The sequence below is a fragment of the Homo sapiens genome, chromosome 2 (genome assembly GCF_000001405.40).
Source record: "Homo sapiens chromosome 2, GRCh38.p14 Primary Assembly".
In the NCBI taxonomy this organism is placed as follows: Eukaryota; Metazoa; Chordata; class Mammalia; order Primates; family Hominidae; genus Homo; species Homo sapiens.
Genome location: NC_000002.12, coordinates 145401918 through 145420206, shown reverse-complemented (window position 1 = coordinate 145420206; position 18289 = coordinate 145401918). Strand labels below are relative to the sequence as shown.

Genomic DNA, 18289 nt, shown 5'->3' with positions numbered 1-18289 from the left:
CCAGACCTTGCAAAGCCACATCAGTGGAGCTTCCTAAGGCTGTGGGAACCCACCTCTTGTATCAGCATGACCTGGATGTGAGACATAGAGTCAAAGGAGATCATTTTGGAACTTTAAGATTTAATGACTGCCCAGCCAGATTTTGAATTGTGTGAGACCTGTAGCCTTTGTTTTGGTTAATTGTTCCCACTTGGAATGGGAACATTTGCCCAATGCCTTCACCCTCATTGTACCTTGGAAGTAACTAACTTGTTTTGATTTTACAGGCTCCTAGGTGGAAGAGACTTCCCTTGTCTCCAATGAGACATTGGACTGTGGACCTTTGAGTTAATGCTGCAATAAGTTAAGACTTTGGGGTAACTGTTGGAAAGGCATGATTGTATTTTGAAATGTGAGGACATGAGATTTGGGATGAGCCGGGGCAGAATAACATGGTGTGGCTCTGTCACCACCCAAAGTTTTATCTTGGATTGTAGTTTTTCTAATTCCCACGTGTCAAAAGGGAGACCAGGTGGAGGTAATTGAATCACGGTGGTGGTTTCCCTCACACTGTTCTCATGACAGTGGGTGAGTTCCCTTGAGATCTGATGCTTTTATAAGTGTTTGGTAGTTCCTCCTGCAATTATTCTGCTTCCTGCCTCCTTGTGAAGAAGGTGCCTTGCTTTCCCTTCACCTTCTGCCATGATTGTAAGCTTTCTGAGGGCTTGCCAGCCGTGCAGAACTGTGAATCAATTAAACCTCTTTCTTTTATAAATTACCCAGTCTTGGGAAGTTCTTTATAGCAGTGTGAAAACAGGCTAATACGCTGGGGGACCTGAGCACCAGTTCATTATGCTCTCATTTTTTCCTGTAAGAAAAATCATGGGCCAAGGGGTCTCTCTTGGCACTCAGCTGTGTAGACTTGCAGGAGTGGCAAAATGGGCAAAGTAAAGCTATTATTTTTATCCTCTTTTGCGTGTTTGCTGGTGGAATTTTTGCTTCAGTGGTGTGCTGAATCTTCTTTGCTAAACCTGCATATTCCTACAAATGTATTCTGGTCCATGGGTCATTGTCAAAATCAGCGCACTTTGGAGATCATGACAGAAAACTCTTATCCACCATCTTGCTGATGTCACTTGTTCCAGGATGCTACATGAGATTATCTTCCTTTTTGCATATTTCTTATTTCATAGGAAAGACTGGAGTAATTATACCAGCCTGTGCTTTTGACCTCTTCTTCTGGGATGTTTGTATTTTTAAACAGATCGAAACAAAATGGGAAGAGTTTAATTAAATAGAATGGTAGGATTCCAGACACTTTTTGATCCTTTCCTTTGAGTGGAAGATGCTCTGTATTCCTGAAACCAAATTACAGAGGCCTGTGGCCTATTATGACCATTGGAAATGAGTGAATTTTTTTAAAATTTTATTTTTATTTTTAATTTACATAATTAGCTTGTTATGTCAATGAATAGCTGCAGACTAGGATGGGTTAGAATTTAGAGAAGGCTTCTTAAACAAATACCTTAAAGTTCAAAATTTCAGACGTTAAAATAATTAAAACAGCATACAATGGCTATGTCTTTATATTTACCAGTGAAACATCTGTTGCTATAGGTTAGTATTTGGAGCAGGAGGAGCAAGTAATTTGCCAAAGTGGCTGTAGCTTTAAAAGAGAAATCACATAACTTCTTTCAAAGATAGGAAATATTAAGGCATCATTGGCACTGTAGAGTGATGCTTTCGGAAGAGATGCCATAATGCCAATATTAGCACACACTTTTATTTTTTAACTGGTACACTGCTTGCTCAGACCATATAAAATATTAGAAAATGATCAAATCCCAGGACATCATTGGCGAACTTTGCTTCAGATTCTGTGGCTAAATTTCTCTATGTTTCATAACATTCGGAAGTGTATAAACCCATAAGGGTATACTATGGGTCTTGGTTTTTTATTTTCTTTAATATACAGTAACTAGAAGCAGAAAAAAAGTTTAAGTGTTTTTTTTCAACAAAAGGCTACTTGAAATGCACTGCTTTGTTCACACATAAACTACTCTTGTAAGAAATATTTGTTCTTTTTTGTTCATAACCTGCCCTTATGACAAGGGTGAAGAAGAAGAATAAGTTGCCTGAGGCATTTACAAACCTTACAAAGACTTTATTAAAAAGAAAACTACCCACGAATTTACTACCAATCCATCTAGATCTTTTACTATGTTGTGTCAGCTCTCATGAGGAACCCATAACTTGAGAAATTTAAACACAAAAAGGCACAAAAGCAACTACAAAATGCAAAGAGCAAACCATTCAAAGATATATTTTTTTCTAATACCTACTTGAGGGAGAAATCAGAAGCTTCTGAAAAATGGAATCTGCCCCTACAAAATTCAATTAATGTTCAGTTAAGCTAAACCACTAAATATTTACAAAATCACTACTTGTGTAACATATATTTTATAATTATAAAGTATATTTATGACATCAGTAAGCCTATCAAACAAAGAAAATAAAGTTAGAGAAATTTAAATGATAAAGGAAAAGGCATAGCACAACTTACAGATTTAAGTAATATTTTATTGCTTAACACTTTAAGGTTCTTTATATCTTTTTTGCAACTAGGTTGCTGCCTCAAAATGGAAGGTGAATGAGACCTGCCATTTGTCATAGGTATTTGCATTAAATTCTCTAGACTGTCCATCCAGAAAAATGTAGTAATACTTTTAAGCTTTCCAGGAAAACAGGGTTTCTTCTGGTTAAATTTTAACCTGTTTTGAAATAACTATTCCATAATAAAATTTGTTTGAAGTGCTGAAAATACCAAAGGCCTGAATTGGGCAGCAAACAGTGGTGGGCATTCTGCAGGTGACTAAAGAACTATTAAGGTCCCCCCACTTTATGAAAAGGAAAATTAAATTGTTTCAGTGACAATAAAGGCATATCAGACAGGAAGAGAACGGATATTAAAGTTCTAGCATTGTTCTTAAATTGATTTGTTTTATTGAATATATTTCTTTGCCACTTTTTCTAATCACTGAACTGAAAATGATAGTTTCTATATACCTGAATGAATTCTAAGGGGTAAATAAATGTACCTTGAAAAATATGTAACATAAGTAGTTACATACAGTTGATAAATCTAATGCAGCGATGCAATTTACATAAGTGCAGCTAATATTAGAAGAATCTTGACATTGCTTCTCCTTAGAAATGTAGAGAGCTGGAAAGAGCATCCCATAAAATCTCACACAAAAAAAATATTAGGGCAAATAGAAAACATGTGCTTTTTTTTCTTAAACACACTGAATTCTTCAGGTTTTAGGGTCACCAACTGGCCCAAAGTCAGAGCCAAGTGCCTGAAGGGAAAGATAAGACATGAGCTGTAGAGTTCAACTGTGATGACTCATGAGTTGGTGGAGGGAAAAGAGGGTCAGGTACTTGAGAGCCTCAAATTTCTATCTTATTTTGAGATTTTCCTTCACACGCCCCACTTCATGCTCATAGAAAATACTGGAAGAGAACTGAGAAAGTCCCTCTCATGGCCGGTAACTGAGGGAGAAAGCTATAGCTATTAAGAAAGGGGCATCAAACTCCACTGAGATCTTTTTCCTTATCTCCTCTATAAGACCATGACTTAATTTGTGGGGGAAGGGCAATGACACTGCCCCCTTTTGAGTACCTATGGAAACTTATTGAAACTTGGAAAAGAAACAAGAACAAAACCTTGTATCTCTGAGGAGGGAGCAAGAACATATGCCAGGGTCAGAATATAGATTTCGGGGAAAGAAGGAATACTGAAAAGGCAACATTTATGGAACTCAAAGACAATGATTGTGTAAGATGTCTAACACTGAGGCTTAATTGGAATAACAGTGAATACTCCCCCACAGTCCACTACCAAGCTGGTATGTATCATGTCACAAGTAACCTGAAAGACTGAGACCCTCTCTGACATTTAGAGAAAAAAGATAATAAAGTTGTTGGTAGAGTAAAAACTGAAAAAAAAAAAAGCATTCTGACACACCAGCCTCCATCATGAATGCAACATATTGCTAGAAAAGAGGATGTTGAAGCTTTTGCTGTCCTGAGGTAACCACAACAACTATAAAATTCGTACTCAGCTCCACTTTCAATTAGATTAACTCAACTCACTCTCTCACCCAAGGCCTAACAGAATGAACATGTACATAAAACCTACTACCTCAGTCTCTACTATCCTATATAAAATGTCTATCTTTAAACGAAGTATAACATATAAAAAGTCCAGTGGTGATTGGGCAAGCTTCTAAGAGACAAAGCCATCATTATAACTAGACTCGGATATGATATAGATGTTAAATTATCAGACATATAATTTAAAGTAACTCTGATTAATGTGTTCACAATCTAATGGGAAAGTCTGACAATGTGCAATATGTAATGGGTAATTTCAGCAGAGCAATCGAAACTAAAAAGAGAATCAAATTATCATGCCAGAAATTATAAACACAGTAACAAAGATGAATACTTTTGAGGAACTCATCAATAGATGTGGCATGGTTGTGAAAATAATAAGCAAACCAGAAAATAATTGCATAGAAATTACAGATGGAAAAACAAAGAGAAGTATAATGGAAAAACACACACACAAAAACATACAGAACAGAGCCTTTAAGAGTTATGATACCATACCAAGTTGTCGAGTCACATGTCCAAGAAGCTCAGAGATACCAAGAAGAATACAAAAAGAGTTTTTAAAAGTCTAGCCATGTCAAATTCAACATGCTGAAAAAAAAAATACAAAGAAAACATCTTGATGGCAGCCAGAGAAAAAAGGGACATTACATCCTGAAGGATGAAGGTAAGAATCCCACAGACTGCTCTTCTGGAGTCATGAAAGCCAGAAGACAATGGAATGACTTACTTTCAAATGCTAAAAGAAGAGTCCACACAACCAAAATATTCACAAAAGCATAATTTTGGCTTTCAGTTAAGTCTGATTGGCTACACATGTTTACCACTTCTCCTTCCTGCAAATTAAATAAAATAATGCAAAGGAATAAAAAGAACATAAATACACTACAACAGACAGGCTAAGAAAAGGTTCATTAGAGAAACAAAGACATTTGGCAATGTATTAGAAAATGAAAAGTTAGTGGAGAAACGATAAGTGATAAATTAGGAAGGAGGAAACTCTGGGTCACAGGACGAAGGATGTAGCTAAGATGGGTGATGATTCTTACCAACATCTGGAGACATTTGAGTCACAGATGTGGCACATAAAGTAAAGAAAAATAAAAATATACACAATATCAAAGATAAATAAAAGTGTACCAATAAGTGGAATTTTTAAAAAGGAGAATAAAGAAAACAGAAGAATTGAAATTATCAAAACATTAATAGAAGATAATTTCTCAGAACTGGGAAAACATACATATTCAGATAAAAAAGACCCAGCGAATTCTAAATAAATAAATACAAATATAAACACAACAAAGCAATTGTTGTAAAATTTCAGTTCAGACAAAGTAATATCAGCTATCATTTTGGACCACAGAATTTTGCCAGAGGAGCTGAAACAATGACCAAGTCATACACTAAGCCTCAGACTAGTGCTTGGGTAGTTAAATATCTATCCAGAGAAGTGAGAATTCATTAGTTCTGCCACACACATCCTTCCTCATACATACACAGTTTCCAAGACCCTTCGGAGTGCTGTAGTTTAAAGTGAGACCTGAGGATTTTAATATAAACTTTCAATACATAAAGTTTGCATTTTAACACAAACTTTGAGGTAATTTCTTTAGCACTCATCCTCTAAAATGTCCAAGTTGAAGACTGCCTTTGGGTTTTGTGCTTAGAAGTTAGAGTCAGGCGACAGCATCTTTTTCCATAAACAGCCACATAATAAATATTTTAGGTTTGGAGGATCATGCATAGTTACTTTGTCCTCCTTCTCCTCCTCATCTTTTCACCACACTGCATCCTCCTCTTTATCTTCTTCTTCTTCTCCGTCTTCTTCTTCTTCTTCTTCTTCCTATTTTCTTCTTCTCCTTCTTCTTTTCTTATTCTTCTTTTCTTTTTTGTTTTTCACAACCCTTTACAATATAATGAAAAATTCCTAGCTACAGGTAAACTATAGTCATTATCAGAGTTTTTAGGAAGAGTTGACAAGATGTCTCAAGATTATTAAGTCTATTGGACAGTAGGTCCCTTGCACTCTCATTTTAAATGCTAAGACAATATAACCCATTACAATGGCTTAAAGATTTGAGGTACTTATTTTTGTGTGTGTGTGTGTGTGTGTGTGTGTGTGTGTCTGTGTGTGTCTGTGTGTGTCTGTTTGTGTTTTCCAAACTGGCATTTCCAAAATTATTTCACAATTGATTTCTTCAGTTATGTTGTGCAACTAACCATGTTCCCAACACACTATGTGAAACCACTCCATGTTGCATTGTTTCTGTCACTATGATATGCAAATTCTAAGATGGTCCCTGAGATTTCTACTTCCTTTTGTACACGCACCCCCTGTGCAATCCCATCCAATTGAATGTGTGCATAATTTGTAAAAATGATTGAATTTTACTCCCAATACTAATTGGGTTGACTAATCTGTCGAATTTGAGTTAATTGAAAGAACAATTACCATTGGTGGACTGGACTTAAATATGGTAAGCCTTTAAAAGAGAGACTAGGTCCTTCCTGAAGAGGAAGGTTTAAAGCAGCAGACACTCTCCTGCTTGCCTGAAAGAAGGAAGTTGCCATGTTGTAAGAGGTCTATGGAGGGTGCCATATGGCAAGGACCTGAGAGAGGCCTCTGGCAGCTGAGAGTGCTCCCTGGACATCAGCTGGCAAGAAAACAAGAGCTTCAGTCATAGAGCTGCAAGGAGTTGAATTCTGCCAACAACCATGTGAGTTTGGAAGAGAATCCTGAGTTACAAAGAGTAATGCTGCCTAAATGACACTTTGTTTGCAGCCTTGGGAGGCATGGAGGAGAGGTCCCAGTGAAGCCAGACTCCAGACCTACAGAAATGAGAAGGAATAAATATGTGTTATCTTAATCAGCAAAGTTTGTGATAATTTGTTATGCAGCCATAAAAAACTAAGACAATCACCACACCCAAATGCCCTTTATTGTTCTTTTTACCTGTTAATTTCATCTTTCTAATCTCACCTTCTTCATGAAGCTTTAAATACAATCTCCTTGCATAATAATCCCACATATCTTACTACCTTTAGCACATATTGTCTGAGCAAGTGATAGAATACGTAGTAGCGGCAACGTTTTCTCTTTGAATCATATCTTCCCAGTTGAGAAAAGAGTTCTTTCAGTAGAGGAACCATCTCCTACACTTATTTATATACCCCACAGCCCTTAAAAGTGTCACTGGTTATAAGAGATACTCAATAAATAATTAACAAATTACTCATAACTTCACTTTTACAATATGTCATGGTCATTATATCACTATTCAAATCATCTCTTATGAATTCTGAAGCACATGGTAAGGAAAAAATGAAGACTCCATAGTTAGAGTCAACTGGCCAGATGACATCTTAGACTTCAAAATACTGCATCAGCAAACTCCAATTTATATCAGTTGTACATAATATTCTTCAGGAAAAAGTATAGCAAAACTTCTGAACTCAAAGCCCATAGAACTTTTGTAAAATTTTCTGGCTATTATATTTGCCAGTAAGCAAGGAGATTTGTAGAATACAACTTTGATGCACACAGACTCGGAAGACAGCTGAAAAGAAGCTAAGGCAGAGCACATGTGTGCTGTTTATAGGCAAACACGTGCCACATCACCCACTACCCAGGTGGACATATCTCCTCTAAAGCTGTAATGGCGAGTCAAGTAACCTGTTCAAAAACCCCACAATCTCCTAACCACAGCCACCTGGCTTGTAATTATAGACTTTATTATAAATAGATATAAGCTTTGAGTGATTAGTTATTGTGTACAAAGTATTCAACCGTGGACCACCTGATTTTCACATACTGCTGTACCTTCTCCTTCCTTTGATGCATCTTGGCTATTAATGGAAAAACACCTGTTTCCTGATAGTTCTCTGAGCTATAGAGACGTACATTTATATAGAAACAGCTGGGAGAAAGGTCCTTGTGAAGGACAACAAAATCCAATTCTTACCATCACAAAACTTCCTCCTGGAGCTGCTGATGGAAGCAGTTAAGCCTGCCTTGCATCACTCCTACACAAGCTACAACAAACAAAGTGAAGCTAGGGAGAGTCTTTAACTACTGTGGAAGGATTAAGAAAATCCTACAGCAATAAGGCTGGGATTTCCATTTGATCCTAGAAACAGAAAACGTTTCTAAACCCACAGGTGAATGACATAAACGGAAAGCCAGGAGCGAGGCTGCAAGTGTTTATTGCGTTCCTCTCACATCTTTTTTCAGCACCTGCACATACCTACAGTCTTTCCTCCCCAATGCCCAGGAGCACGGGACATCCAGCTACACTGATAAACTAGCAGCAGCTCAAGAAAATGAATGATGACAGGAAATGAAAGTGACAGTGACAGTTTGTGGTTGTTTGATTTCTTAAATGCAATGAATGGTGGCCACAGAGTTTCCTGTCAACAAGTGTCTGGATAGAAAAATGAAAAAGCAATCAAAACAGTAACTGACACTTCAGGGCATTTCAGGGAAGCCCAGGGCTCACTGTGCAACAAAACCACCTGCTTAGTGTTCTCCATGGGAACTACCACTCACCCTGAGAGGAATTATCAGGATAAAGCCAAGGTGGGTGGGTGCAATGCCAGCTCATTAGTTTAATCTCCAAGGAAAGGTGGACCAAATGATAAAATTCTGGACTAAATGACCTCTGTGGTCAAATCCAGTGCAATGCTCTGTGGTCAATTCCAGTGTAAAGATTCTAGAAATAATACAGGATGAAGGGGTAGGAAATGTGACCCTAATGCAGATACCATTAGTAATTTAATTATAGGAACTTCAATTAATTTACTTCTCTCTGCCTTAATCCCTCCTCATGTAAAAATGCTACCCTTCCTTTCTGTCTTTAAGCCAGAAATCTGCTAGTTGTATGAGTTACAGGAAGAAGATCCACAATATTAGAGACACAGGGAATTAATAAACAATCGTATACAAGTATCTGGAAAAAGAGAAGAGCACTGAATTTGATATTGAACACGTTTTCTTGGCCTAATGAACATAACTGCATCCCACCATGTTTTCATCTCATCTCTCCCCTGTGACATCCCTACTGTCAAGCCAGAGTTCTTGCCATTTTCTGCTTTGAATCTTGATCTAGCCCTACCTCTTGACTTTATCCCAGTCTGATTTCCACTTCTATCAACTCTATCTAAGTGCTAGCTCCCCGTTCTCCAGCAAGTGGCCCTGCCTATCACCTTCACCCCAATGCGTTCCTCTCCACTCAGAGAAATGTGAACCTGTATCGCATGGTGTAGCCTTTCTTCTTGAAATTCTTCTCTCCTTTTTTTAATCCTTAAAAAAGAAAATGCTTTAGAGAAATATGACTGTAATTAACAACTGACAAAAATATCTGGGCTTGAGCTGAAGTGGGAAATCACAAACGTTAGTTACTTATTTTCTCATGCAGTTACCATTTGTTCTCTTTTCTCAGGGAAGTTGAAAGACCTGAGGTTCAAACTTAATAAGGCCCCATACTGTTTCTAAGAGTATTTGCAACATGTAAAGTATAAGTCAGTGCATTGCTGATATTTAAATTTGTTTTCACTCATCTGAGCTATTACACAGTATGCAATCCCTAAACCCTTCATAATAAAGAACACACATTTCTCAGCCACGAAAGGGAATGAAAGATTCAGCAATTTAAGCTCTCCGGTACTAGAAAGGTGACAAAACATTTATGTGTATCCAATCCATTCCACTGATTTGGCTCCAACATTAGGAGGGACTGCCTCAGGCAGAGACATTTTGCTATATACACATTCTTGGGAATTAGCAAATGGCCCATAGTGATGACAGCAACATCCTTCAAAACACTCAACTTTACTAAATGGATTTCACAAATACATTTTCTCTTTCTGAAGAATGTTTTTTTAAGTCTAACTGATAGTACAAATACTTGTTGCCTTTTTAAAAAGAAAATTCCAAGAAACCAAGGAGTAAGCTATAAACAAATCATTTTCACTTGTGTAAGAATGGCTGTGTAACCTGTGTTCTACCAGTTATCTTCATGTTTTTCATTGATTTTTACAATCCATTGTCCATGGTAAGTTACTCTAGGAGAGTGATGTGCTAAGGAGGTCATGACATGAAATTTAATATTTAAAATACCAGTCTTTACATACCAAATAAGCAGGAAAAATTCACTATCTGAATCATTTTTACTCCTTGGATGGCATGTAAAGATCTCTGGATTCTGGTCTCAATCTTGTAAATAAGCAATTTTGACATCTAGAGTAAGTCACTTAGTTTTTATACCTCCAACTTTCTTTAATTGTACAATGACAAGATAATAAAATAATCCTGAGATCTTTTCACTAAATTTTATTATTGCATCATTTGAAAATAATTTCATAGCACATACTGAAAAATACACTTCCAGAGTTTAAAAGCATGTACTTTACTTTTAAATTGTGCTTAAAATACTTGTTGTGTTACTTGTATGTTCATAATATTATTACTGCCACTACTCATATAAGAAAACATTGTTTAATTTTAATAAAAATGAACTATTACTTCACATTCAAATAACATATTTTGATTTTTTAACAGTATTTTACACCCATTATTGCACAGACTAGCTTTATATGGTTGATGGGTCCAAAATAATTATTCCCATTTTAAAGGTCACTTGTGTCCAAGGACATGCAAGATTTTAGTGGCAAAACCTAGAAATAGGAAATTTTTTGAACTTTGAGAACCACACTCTCTATGTGTAATTTGTATACCAATGTATCTTTCAGATAGCAGTCCTGGCAAAGGAAATTTAAAGAGCTATCATTTTGAGCAGTTCATTCACTTTCTGCCATTATCAAGAGGTGGCCAAGAGGTGCCTTTATGGAATTTTCTGCCTCTACATTTCTCATGAGTCATGACTATGTTTTTCCTAGTTTCCAAGGTGAACATATGTGTATGTAGTCATTGAAAATTTCCAGAGGGAAGGTAGTACTTCTTTTAACACAGAGATGCCTTTTACTTTACATAAATTTAGAAACATAAAAAAAAGCTGCATATTTAAATTTTAGTATGTATGAAAATGCCAAAAAATAACAAAAGACAATGTTATAAAATACCTTTCATGTTATCATTGCCCAACAACTAACCTGCTCTTCCCCATTGCCACCCACAGTTCAGCATTGTGAACTCCTGGACAACGCAGCTGGATATCTGTGTCTGAATTATATTCCAGGACGATCCTTGGGTAGATATCCATATCCCTGGATCAAAGATTGCTTTTAAGCAATTCATAACATGTGGGATTGTATAGGCATGTGTTGTCCACCTCTCTCAGTGAGCCTCCCTACAATCTTGGAAGTGGCCTGACATAATTCATCTTTGGTCTTAGTGGCCAAATAAAAGTGAGACAGATATAGAATTGGCCAGAATGTTTACTTTACTCTATGAAGTGTTAAGAATCAGACTTATCCATTCTTTTATTCATCCCATAAATATTTATTGAGTTTTTAATATGTTCAATGTACTATTCTAGGTGCTAGAGATATACTGTGAACATTATGGTTGAGTGGAATAAAAAAATAGCCAAGGAAGCATGAATAAACAAGACAATTTCAGAGTGGAAAGACGCTATAAAATGTGATAATGTGATAAACAGTTATTGGGTTGTAGAGAGGCCTACATTATTGTGGAGGGTGAGAAAGTCCTCTGTGAGGATGCTTAACCTTTCTAAGAAAATAAAAATAAATCAAAATTCAACATGTCTTGATTATCCAATCAGGAAATGGAGAAATGGTGCTGAGAGCAGTCTCAAGGAATCATCCCTGCTCCCAGAACAGTCTACCCTGAGTCTAGCAAATATCTCAAAATCCACTATTAAACGAATTTTTTTTCTGTTTTGTTATTCCACTAAAATTCAAATGCTCTTGAGGAGAAGAACCATATTAAGTCAGTCCTCTTAACTTTAGTCTGAATTGGTTTAACAGACATTTTTTCAACCAACAGCCATACTTATTTTTGTAATCATAATTTTTTATTCATTGAGGTAAAATTTACATGTATAAAATACTACAGATCATTGTTGTATAACTGGCTAAGTCTTAAAAATGTATACCACCTTACTGCTAATCAAACCAAGGTACAGAACATTTGCATCACCTCATAACCTTCCCCTATGTGCCTTTCTCTTTGCTTTTCCCACACGTTCAGGAATAACCCCTATTCAAATTTCAATCTTTCTGGGTTAGCTTTGCCTTTATATAAACATAATTGTACAGTACATGCATGCTTGTGTCTGGCTTTAGCTCAGCATAACACTTCTGAGATTTGTTAACATGATTGCATGTAAAGGTAGTTTGTCACTATTTTGTAATCGTTGAGTACTCAGATAGCATTTGATGTGGGAAGAGAAGACATGAAGAGTATAGAGGGGAAACTTGAAAACAGAGATGCATGGTGGGTCTCAAAAGAGGTACTCTGGACCAGTAGCATCAGCATCAACACCACTGAAAACTTGTTAGAGAGGTACATTCTTGGGTCTCACCCCAGGCTGAATGAATTACAAACTCAGGAGGTAGATACCAGGAACCTGTTTTGTTTTTTTGTTGTTATTGTTGTTTTAGTTTTGTAAAATAAGGCCTCCAGGGAATTCTAAAGCATATTAAAGCTTGAGAACAGATAACTAGGAGAAGGCATAGACAAAGAGTAAATTTTACTTAAAAGGATATGGCAGCCACGGAAGATGAAAATGTGTTTGCTTGCCTCTCCTGCTTCTCTTAGAACTCTTCAGATTGCAAAAACGTGAGAGCAAGTTTTATGAAGATAAATTTTGAAAATCATCTTTAGTATTGATTCGTACTTTTGCTTTAAGTAGCTCAGTGACCAGTTCCGACTTAGACTCTGAATTGTCCATCTGTAATGCAGTCCTAGAAGCCATATGGGAGACTTGTAGTAATTAACAATAGCATCTAATGAAAGGGTGGTAAACTAGTTCTCACCAAGGAAAACTCCATTATACTAATGTGAAAATGAACAAGCCAACTCATCTGGGCTTTGGAAGTATTTTATGTTTCTTAAAAATGAACATTAAAACCCTATAGTGTAAGAATTGTCTGAAAATTATTTTAAAATATACAGACATTTTTGCAACTAAATCATTTCTCAAATCCATGTCCAAAAGTAAGGGAATTAACCATAAGAGGGAAAGTCTTGCAAAAATATTAATCAGTGTCTTGAAATTGGAGAAAAAGACTAGCAATCATCATGAAGCTTTGAAAGAAAATTTTACCCAATTCAAATGAGTGCAATCAAAGTGAGAACAAGAAAATTCCAAGAAGACACTTTCCCTACTCTATGGAGACCTTGACTAAAGCTATCTGACACCTTAGTTGTTATTTGATTTAACTAAATTATATTAGAATTAGTTTTAACTGTAGATAGTCCCCAAAATAAAGACATTAAGTAGTCACAGCATAGTGTTTTAATCAGGAATGATAGATGACAGATAGATAGATAGATAGATGATAGATAGATAGATAGATAGATAGATAGATAGATAGACTACATATATATATATATAGGCACAATATGACCACCAAGTTCAATTTCAACATAAAGGGCTTTGCTGTCTGAAATGCAGCCATTTTACATTTGCAACCACCCAAAGTAAAAGGACCAGACAATACAGCAAAACTGGACAAGAACCTGGTTTCGATAAATGAACTTTCACAACATTCATTTAATGTTTATCACCAACCTTGAGCTACCAATTCATATACTGGCCAAATAGTCATTTTTTCTTTAAATTGAAAGACAACAAACCAATCGACTGGCTAGTTTTACACTATATGTCATCCAACATGTTACAGAAATCTTTTCCTGGAGGATACTTCCTGAGTCCCTTAAAAATCCATTCATCAGGCTGAACTAAAGGACATGAAAAGCAGATGATCAATTTGGGAATATTTGAGTCAACACAGAGAGTTTGAGTCAGGAAGCTGTGTTTACAGAGTGAGAGTCACAGACATCTCCAACATCTAGAGAGTGATCGTCATCAAACCAAAGCATAGTTCTATGTTCATGTGAACTATCCCTTCTGCAGGTATAAATCCCAAGACAATAACAAAGAGAATGGGAAAGTAGGTCAGCTCCTACGTAAAGCACTAAATATTCATAGAATCCTTTTTTCAAAGAAAAAAGATTTTCCAACACACCTAAGACACACCTGTGAAATATTTTCTCTTCCAGCTGCTCTGAATAGGCTACACTTTTATTACTCAAAAGCATTTATGGGCAATCAGTATTACCTATGTGCTTGCTTGAAATGTAGAGTCTCAAGCTCTAGTCCAAAGCTCATGAGTTAAAACTTGCATTTTAATATGATAACCATTGATTCATATACACATTAATGTAGAGAAGCACTAGAAAATGGAATATTAAGCTATTGGTTACTCTCCATACTATTGTTTTTTTCCAGTTCATATTATTAGATTCACCTGGGACTGTTAAGCCTATCAGACCTATCTCAGAATGACTTAATCAGAATATCTGTGTTTTTAAAAATGTCCCAGTTTCTCATGACTATATAAGTTTGGGAAGTTGCTGATTTGGGCAATCAGGCAAGGGCTGACTCCACATGTTTGTGATGTAAAAAAAAAAAAAAAAAAGTCAGTTTACATAAAATATAGTGTTTTTGTTTTTGTAAATTTTGAGTATATTTAGTTGTAGCAAAATAAGTAAATGCCAAATATAAGGAATAGGAAGAAATAGGAAAATGGTAACATTGGTATGATGAAGCAATGAAAAGCATTAGGCAGATTGTGTATGTACTTAGGTGTGTCTTTAATGCTTTGTCTACATAGAGAACACCTAGTAAAATCATGCAAGCAAATCCATCTGCAGATGGCCGGGTACCTTCCAAGGTGTAAACAAGGTTGAGGCAGATTTCTTACTTTCAAATAATTGTATTACTCTTATAAAACACACAGCCTACGTATTGATTTTGTTTTGTTTTTCAGTCTGAGTGTCCATCCTAGGTTGAGCTCTCTAGGAAACAGATTCTGAGTCTGAGATTTGTGTGCAGCTTGTTCATCTGGGATGCTCTCTAGATCAGCCTTGTGGGGTGGGTTGAAGGACATAGAACTAGGCACAGGGAAAAGAGGAATTTGATGTAGTCACAACAAAAGCCATTCCAGAAGAGGGACTCATCTGAGAGCTGTCAGCCACCAACACTTTGCAGCTGGAGAAATCAATGCCTTAGTCCCGTGGGTAGCACCACACAGCACTCATTATAGTGGAGCCACTACTGTGGTAACTACATTTTCTCTTTTTAAATCTCCAAGAGTCTGTCAGAAATGCCTCATGTCTGTCTTTATCTCAGAATTTTATTTAAAGAATAGTCAGTGTAATTTTGTTTGTATTCTCTAGTTTCTTCTGGTTGACAGTTTTTAAATAAATCCCTCCATATCTTGATTGTTTTGGGAACCACAAAGTATAGAACTATTTTTTTTAACCTACTTTATTAACAGATGAAGATTTTGTTTTTGTAGTCTGAAAAGAAATCCTCAAAGGTGTCAAAAATTAACTAGGTCATTAACCAAATTCCACATCATTTTGCTTAATTTTTTGTAAAATTATATAAGTCATGTCATAATTTTCTGAAGGTGCTCACATTCCTGATTGGATTATTAATTTGTGTTTATTATAGGGGCTGTGGTATAATGTTCTATCTTAATTAGTATTTTTATGCTTATGATTTTAAATATGTATATAGTCAGTTTTTATGTTGTTTGCCTTTCTAACATAACTAAGGTTAAGTGTTTTCTTGCAACAAAGGGAATTTATATTGGAATTAAAAGTAATTACAGTAGCTTTATCAAAAGCAAAGCAATTGGCAGTTGTGTGAATAGACATCTTTACAGTAATAAAATGCAGACTGAACAACCTCTGAGTTTATGTTTCTGATGATGTTTCTTTTACAGGAATAATAATGGTAAGTTTTATGTATAGAATATATTTGCAAACAGAAAAAACATCTTTCCTTAATTCTTCATGGTATCTTTCTATTTTTCAGAAAAGTTAACCAGCTTTCATACTCCTAGTATATCTAGAAAGTAGGCCTGAATTATATAAGCAGATTGTAAAATAATGGATTTAATTTTTCTTTTTTATTTACTACTTTCACAATAAATTGAGCAGCTTTAAAACTATGCACACATCTTACAGGTATTAACTACCCTCCTTTTACTAAATACTACATTTGCTAGAATTGCAAAGATTAATAACAAACAGTCATGGTCCACCAGGAGTTCAAATTCTAGTGGATGGGTTGTGTTGAGGTTCAATGATTAAGACTATCAACAGAACTGAACAAATGTTCAAATTTTCACTTATTTCAGTTGTCAAGAAGTAGCTACTGCAGCAACTACAGCCTCAGAGATGTTTCAAAGAACTGATGAACAGTTCATATAGATGGTGTAATATTCACCAAAAAAATTTGTAATCTATATTTAATTATTTAAATACCAAAGAAAATAGCTTATTGCATGAACAGCATTTTTTAAAAAGTAAGAAAGAGAATGCTTGTCTTCTGGCCCTGACTGTGTATAAAGTATTAGGAATCTGAGATACAGGTTAGAAAATGGGACCTGGATCCCACACTCTGGTCAAAGTTTAGCAATGCCTGTACTCTGTGTAAGTGCAAAACTTTACATTCAGAACAACCCTCATCAAATGAGGCTTTGAATTACTGACAGAGGAAGGACACCTAAAATCTACTGTGTAATATCTTTTAATTTGCTCTGATGGCCTTAATTTTTACATCAGAAAAGAAATGGGAAGGTCATTCATTTATTTATTAAAAAATATTTGTTGAATATGTGCCAGGTATTAGGCCATGCACTGAGGATACAACTCAAAACAAGAGTAACACACTGTCTGTTCTCACAGAGCTTACAGTCTAGTGGGATCTACTGAGGATAAGGTAGGAAATTGCAAGATGATGTCATCAGTACTATCTGGAGTGGCAAGCCATGTGTTAGAAGATCACATATGATGGATGTACAACCTGGACTTTAGAGTTTAAGAAAAGCTTCCTGGAAGAAGTGAAGTTTAATCTGAGGCCAAAGAGGTAACCAGGATTGCTCTGGTGGGTGAGTAAGGGGAACACGATTGTTAGCGTTAGTCATATTATGTGATTCATGTCATATAATGAAAAATTGTGTAAAGGTTCATTAACATGGCTGGGACAAACACAGCTTGAATGCTGGGAAGAGAGCACTGATGACCTAGAGGATGAAGCAGGAGAGATAAGCAGGTCCTTGAAAGGAAGAGTCACTGAGAAAAGTTTTCCTAATGGAGACAATTACATGATCATATTTTGATTTTAGAAATACAATGTAACAATGTAGAAACAACTTGCAAGCTATGATATTAATTTAAACGGGTAATTCCTCACTAAACTGGGGATGGAAAGAAATTTAGGGATTTAAGAAACAGTTCAAATGTATAACTCATAAGACTAGTCATTGGTCAGGTGTGTAGGATGAGGGAAGAGAGAAGAGTCAAAATGATGCCTGGGTTTCTGTAGTGATTGAGAGAATGGTCTTACCATTTACTTGAGAAAAAAGGAAAATAAGTATATTTAGTGTTCAAGATGATATATTTTCTTCTGGCAAGTTTTTTGGGGGTAAATCTGTTAGTAGTATGTAGGCATATTGATATATATACCTAGATCTCATGAAAAACATCTCAGCTGGCAGTACGAATTTTGAAATTATGTGATCACATGAGGTCATCCAGTAAAAATATGTGAAATAGGTCTTCCTGCCTCTATATAACTGGTAATGATACCAAGTTTAATGAGCAAGGAAAGGTATAAGATGCAGCAAAGAGGGCTTCAAGGAGCACCCAGAAAGCTAGGAAAAGAATTTGGAGAATAAATAACAGTGGCCAAAGGAACAGAACATTTCAGAAGAGTAGTGGGCAACAAAATCAAGGGTTGCTGAGAAATCAAGTTGAATAAGGGGTAAAGGTTATCTGGAGGATGCATTAATAAGGGAATATGTAGCCACCACACTGTGATCAATTTTAGCCATGGGGAAGGTAAGAGCTAGAGTGGGTACAAAGGAAATAAAATGGGAAGCAATGGAAGCAGTGCATCTAAGAGTGCTTTGGTGA

General features: G+C 36.0%; 1 annotated feature.

Annotated features, from left to right (window-relative positions):
* Positions 7808–7967: an enhancer, noted in NCBI's record as "active region_16607". NCBI's record gives its function as "activates an Ori minimal core promoter by ATAC-STARR-seq in GM12878 lymphoblastoid cells {active_cell/tissue: GM12878}" and the evidence as "EXISTENCE:reporter gene assay evidence [ECO:0000049][PMID:35858748]".